Below are 6404 nucleotides of genomic sequence, written 5' to 3'. Positions count from 1 at the left end.
ATTTTAGTGATTCCCAAATGATTTATACTCGATTGCTCATTACATGATAGATTGTGGGGTCAGTGAAAAAAAAAATTAAGTTAGAAGCTCTTATTTTCTTTGTTTTGTGTGTGTGTGTTTTTGTTGTTGTTTGTTTTGTTTTGAGATAGAGTCTGGCTCTGTTACCCGGGCTGGAGTGCAGTAGCATGATCACAGCTCCCTACAACCTCCGCCTCCTGGGTTCAAGTGATTCTCCTGCCTCAGCCTCCCAAGCAGCTGGGACTACAGGTGCCACCACGCCCGGCTAGTTTTTGTATTTTTTTGTAGAGATGCAGTTTCACCATGTTAGCCAGGCTAGTCTAGAACTCCTGGCCTCAAGTGATTCACCCACCTCAGCCTCCCAAAGTGCTAGGATTACAGGCGTAAACCACCGCACCCGATCTGGAAGATTCATTTCACAAAAATTTTAACTTAGAGTTTACGTAATTTAAAAAAATAATTGAAGAGCATCTCTATTCTATAGGCAAATCAACAGTTAATAGAGCCCTCAGTATGTGTCACAATAACTATAGCTTAGATACACCTCACTATATCTAAAACATGTATTTAATTTATAGGAAAAAAAATCATGAAAAATGAATTCAGGAGGAAGACCATAACTTAAAACAAGGTGAACAGTGATGATTCAGGGAAGAAAGAGGATGTCTGTGGTCTGTTCATCCCTTTCCTCTATACCAAGATGGCCCCTTCAGCTTTGCTTATAATAAAGAGAAAACAACCAAATACTTTTGAAGAATAGGCCAATAATACTAAATAGTCATTAAAAAGAAGGTATGTGCTAATATAAAAAGTATCATATAAAAAGCCCTTCCAGATAAATTGTGGGTTTTGTGTTGTTTTTATAGATTTTTTAATTTTTTTTGTAGAGAGGTCCCACTATGTTGCCCAGGCTAGTCTTGAACTCCTGGGCTCAAGCTCCTGCTTTGGCCTCCCAAAGTGCTAGGATCATAGGTGTGAGCCGCCACACCCAGCCCCAGATAAATTGTTGGGGAATTTTTAGAAAAATCCAGAATACGCCTGTAATCCCAGCACTTTGGGAGGCCGAGGCAGGCAGATCACAAGGTCAGGAGACGGAGACCATCCTGGCCAACGTTGTGAAACCCCGTCTCTACAGAAATACAAAAAATTAGCCAGGCGTGGTGGTGTGCACCTGTAGTCCCAGCTACTCGGGAGGCTGAGGCAAGAGGCATCGCTTGAACCTGGGAGGCAGAGGTTGCAGTGAGCCGAGATCGTGCCATGGCACGCCAGAACCTGGCAACAGAGCGAGACTCCATCTCAAAAAAAAAAAAAAAAAAAAGAAAAGAAAAAGAAAAATCCAGAATATCATCCATTTTCTATTTAAAAAGGGCTGTTGTGTGTGTTTATCTGTGGGCACCAGGGTTGTAGGTCGAAGTAATAATCTGGCCTACGGCCATACCACCCTGAACGTGCCCGATCTCGTCTGATCTTGGAAACTAAGCAGAGTCGGGCCTGGTTAGCACTTGGATGGAAATAGTAATCTGCTTGTTTTTTCTGTGTGTTTGCCTCCTCTCTCAATGGTGCCCCAAGGGCTGGGTGGCAGTGTTTTCTCCTTCAGCCCATGCCTAAGCAGGAACAATGATTTAAAATCCCTCACTAGAGAAAATTTCCTGTATGCATATTTGTAGAATCAGTTCTTCCTCTCCCAGAAGTAATGTAAGACTGTGCCTGTGGAAAGGAAGAAAAAGGCAGAGTGGTGCCAGATGAAGGGCAGAGAAGATGGATGAGGAATCAATGAAGTGTGAGGGAGGAGACCAGGGAGAGGATGAGTTTCCATCAAGTGTGGCTCCATCACTAACTCCTCAGCTGACATCCACCAGCTGGTCAACAGCTCTAGGCACTTCTAAGACTCCTGAACAGAGGAGAAATGAACAGTTGGGATGAACTAACTAGATTATGCTGCAGTAACACCCTCCAACTCTCAGTGGTTTAAAACAATAAAATAAAAGAAAACCCTGTATATCTCTACTCACAACATCAAATGTGTGGATTTTCCACACCAAGCAATTCTCCAACTCTCCTGACAGCAACTGGATGTCCTACAATTCAATTGTGATATTATCCACACACAGTGGGCACAGACGCCACACATTACATGCTCAGTTACACAAGTCCCGGGCCTCTGCTACTTCTGACCAACTTGGCAAAAAATCAGGGGTTTCCACAGCCACCTCCTCGTGTTTGATAATCTGCTTTAATGACTCACAGAACTCAAGAAAACACCTTATTTATGTGTGCTTTTATTTATTTACTTAAATTTTGTAGAGACAGGGTCTCACTCTGTCACCCAGGCTAGTCTCAAACTCCTGAATTCAAGGGATCCTTCCACCTCAGCCTCGTGAGTAGCTGAGACTACAGGTGTGCACTACCACTCCCAGCTCCTAACTTATGATTACTAGTGTATTATAAAAGATACAAATGAACAGTCCAGATGAAGAGGTACACAGGGAAAGGTGGGAAAGAGGCATGGAGCTTCCCTGCCCTTTCCAGATACACCACCCTCCCAGCACCTCCATGCCTGGAAGCTCTCCAAACCCCCTCATTTAGGGTTTTTATGGAGTTTCCATTATGTAAACATGATTGAGTCAATCACTGGCCACTGGTGATCAGGCTCAATTCCCATCCCCTCTCCTATCCCTGGAGGTGGGGTGCCTGGAGCGGAAAGTTCCACCCCTCTAATCACATGGTTGCTACCTCTGGCAACCAGCCCCTCTCCTCTTAGAGTCACCCCAGTAGCATAAGCTCATGGTTGAAAGGGCTTATTATGAATAGAAAAAGATGCTCCTCCTACCAGTACCACTCAGGAAGTTACAAGGGAACTAGGGACTAACACCAAATACATATTTCTTATTACATCACGATATCACAAAAGGTTAATTTTGCTCACACTATATGCCCATAAAGGGTTAGCTGCGGGCTGGCTCTACTCCATGTCATTCGTTTTTTTGAAGACAGAGTCTCACTCTGTCGCCCAGGCTGGAGTGCAGTGGCGTGATCTTGATTCACTAAAACCTCCACCTCCCGGGTTCAAATGATTCTCCTGCCTGAGCCTCTCAAGTAGCTGGGATTATAGGTGTGTGTGTCACCATGCCTGGCTAACTTTTGTATTTTTAGTAGAGATGGGGTTTTCGCCATGCTGGCCAGACTGGTCTCAAACTCCTGACTTCAGGTGATCCACCAATCTTGTCCCCAAGATTCAGAACATTTTTTTCCAGGCCAAAGGCCAGAACCGTGACATTTACTATGTCATCCCTGACCTTATAGCAGAGAAATAACTATGGAGACCATGATCTTCACTTGGGGCAAGAAAGTCCAACATACTAATTCCCTGAGAAGTCTCAGATGCCCATCTGGGATCACCCCCCACTACCATCCCGGGGCCCATGAAAGGGCTGGGGGCAGGAGAGGAGCTCGGGGAAGGTGTGCCAGGTAATTTGAGGGGGTAAGAAGCTGCCATCACAGAGTCCTGCTTTGGGTACTTTCTTCCACCTTGGTGCTTTCTTCCACACAAGAGGAGTGGGAGCCGAAAGGCAGTTGGTCTGGGGAAGGATGGGAAGATTGAATAATGAAGTGAGACTCGGTCTAACAGGTGCATGACCCAGAACCTAGCCTGTACCTGGTTCAGCCACCCACTCTGCCTCCCACCTCCAGGCATGTGTCCATGACAGCTAGAGGGGACTGCTCAAGACATGGAAGATGTCCTTCCTCCTTAGAGAACCTTCTCAGGACAGGGCCTTGGAGCCAGGGCCATGGGGAAGATGAGCACGAGTGCAAGTCTTAAAAATAGAAACGTGAGTCATTCTCTCATCATTCAACAAATATTTCATTATTTTGATTCACCAAGTATCATTGATCAGCAAGGAGCCCAGAACCATGATGGGAACTGAGGGATGTACAGACGAATCTGAGAACGAGCCCCCACGCTCACCAAACCTTCAGCCCAGAGGGCAATATGACACACAGCCAAACCCAGCATCCAGGACCCAGAAAAGCTCACAAATGGCACAGGAGCAGTTTGGTGGGAGGCCAAAGGAGGAAAGGACTAATTCCTGCTGGAGACCCCAGAGCCTTTCCTGGCGAATGTTCAGCCAAATTCATGGCCTCTTTTGAGAGGAGCTGGATAGGACCAGTCTCTCTTGGAATCTTTTTCTCTAAGGCAGGCTGTCCTGCTGGGAGGAGAAGGAATGTGAAGATTTTCCTAGAATTTCACTGGCAGCTGTGTTCTGGGGAACAGGGCTAATAAAGTGTTTATAATTAAGGAGCGTGATATAACAAAAAATAAGTATTTGGCTCATGTCCCTAGTTCTTCATACACTGTTCCTAAAACCCTTGGAATCTCCATAATGATAAGAGTGACTTTTGTATGCTAATGAGATGACAGGTGGCTGAGGGCCCCTGGATAGTTTCAGGATGGGGTCTCCTTGCCAGAAAGCCCAAGGCATGATTAGAGGGTTGGGACTTTCAGCCTCATCCCTAAACCTCTGGGGAGGAGATAGGCGCTGGAGAGTGAGTCCAGCCAATGGCCAATGATTTAGTCAATCATGTCTATGTAAAGAAACCTCCATAAAGTCCCTATATGACAGGATTTGGGGAACTTCCAGATTGGTGAACGCCTTGAGGTGCCGAAAGCGTGGCTACTGGGAAGAGGGCGTGGAAGCTCTGTGCCCTTCCCTCATGCTCTGCCTGGTTCAGCTCTTCCATCTGGCTGTACATGAGTGGTGTCTTTTGAAATTAACTGGTAATAGTGAGTTAAATGGATTCCTGAGACATCTGAGACATTCTTGCAAATTTTCAAGCCTGAAGAGGGAGCCTGTGGAATTCCCCAACTTTGTAGCCAAGTCAGACAGAAATGTGGGTGACCCGGGCACCCAATACTTGCAACTAGTGTCTGAAGTGAGGGCAGTCTTGTGGGACTCAGTCCCTAAACCTGTGAAGTCTAGAATTGAATTGAACTGTTGGACATTCAGTTTGTGTCAAAGAAATGGAGGATTCATTGATGTAAGCAAAAAACCTGCCAAGACAAAGGTTCATACAGCAGGTGTTGCCACCTTTTCCACGTCAATGAGCAAAGCCACGTGCAGGCTGCCCAGGCCCAGTTTTCAGGAGTGCAGACACTGAACAGCGTCATCAGCCCCTCTCTGAGTCACATCCAGGGGTGCACCCAGGAGCTGCACTCCCAGCCTCTTTCTAGGCCCTGTGTCTTTCCATCCTCTGCCATTTTCTCCCCCGGGCAGCCAGATTTCTCTGCTCCTTTGTCTCTATTTAGTCCCATAACCAGGTTAGCCTTCTGGGGTTAGCTCCAACTTTTCATCCTTTCTTCTAGAAATGTGACTGTCCTCTCTTCTACTCAAATCTGATAACCTCTCCTTCCCAGGAATATGTCTCTTGCTTCTTTCCCTATTCAAACCAATAGGTAGCTTCAAACAGAAACTAAAGTACCATAGTCTCCTCTTATCCAGTGTTTCAGTTAGCTGTGATCAACAGAGGTCTGAAAATATTAAATGGAACATTCCAGGAATAAACAATGTATAAGTTCTAAATTGCACACTGATCTGATAGCATGACAAAATCTCTCACCATCCCACCTCATACCGCCAAGGACATGAACCATCCCTTTGTCCAGCATATCCATCTTGTATATGCTCCCCATGTGGGAGTCACTTAGCAGCCGTCTTGATTATCAGGTCTAAAAAACATAGTATGTATAGGGTTTGGTACTACCCATGGTTTCAGGCATCCACTGGAGGTCTTGGAATGTATTCCAGAAGGATAAGCAGAGGACTTCTACTATTGTTTCTTCCTGAACAAGAAGGCTTATCAGAGCCGAAATTTTTCTAGTTGCAAGAAATAGGAGCCTGTTCTAATTCACCTGAGTTATGATGGGAAATTTATTTCAAGGTATCACATTGTCTCAGACAATCAAAAACCAAGAAAGATCATTAGATGGCAGTTAGACCACAGAAAGACAGGGACCAGAACTGGAAAACAATCAGAAATCAAAGCCACTACTTTCTCAGATTTCCTTCCCAGATCCTTGGGGTCACAGAATTTCTCAGCATATGTCATTAAGGATCTTCTTTCTCCCCACCACAATGGCTTTCTCTACTTCTCTGCCCACATGATAAAAGATGGCCCCACGTAGAGCCCAAGATTGGCAATGCTTTAGCTTGAGCAACCATCTGAGCCTGAATTGGACCACCGAATTCTCATACCAAAATCCCAAAGAAGGAAACTTATTCCATGCTGCCCACATAGGCTACAAAAAAACTATGAAAGAACTATGACCCAGAGAGGCCATCATGTAACACCAGCTTGGCTGCGTCGAACGTTGAAGGAACAGTTCTTAG

General features: G+C 45.4%; 1 pseudogene; it reads left to right on the top strand.

Annotated features, from left to right (window-relative positions):
* Positions 1443-1540, top strand: RNA5SP86 (RNA, 5S ribosomal pseudogene 86; annotated as a pseudogene).

The sequence above is a fragment of the Homo sapiens genome, chromosome 2 (genome assembly GCF_000001405.40).
Source record: "Homo sapiens chromosome 2, GRCh38.p14 Primary Assembly".
NCBI classification, from domain to species: Eukaryota; Metazoa; Chordata; class Mammalia; order Primates; family Hominidae; genus Homo; species Homo sapiens.
Note: the sequence above shows the minus strand (reverse complement) of the source record. Positions and strands in the feature narration are given on the sequence as shown.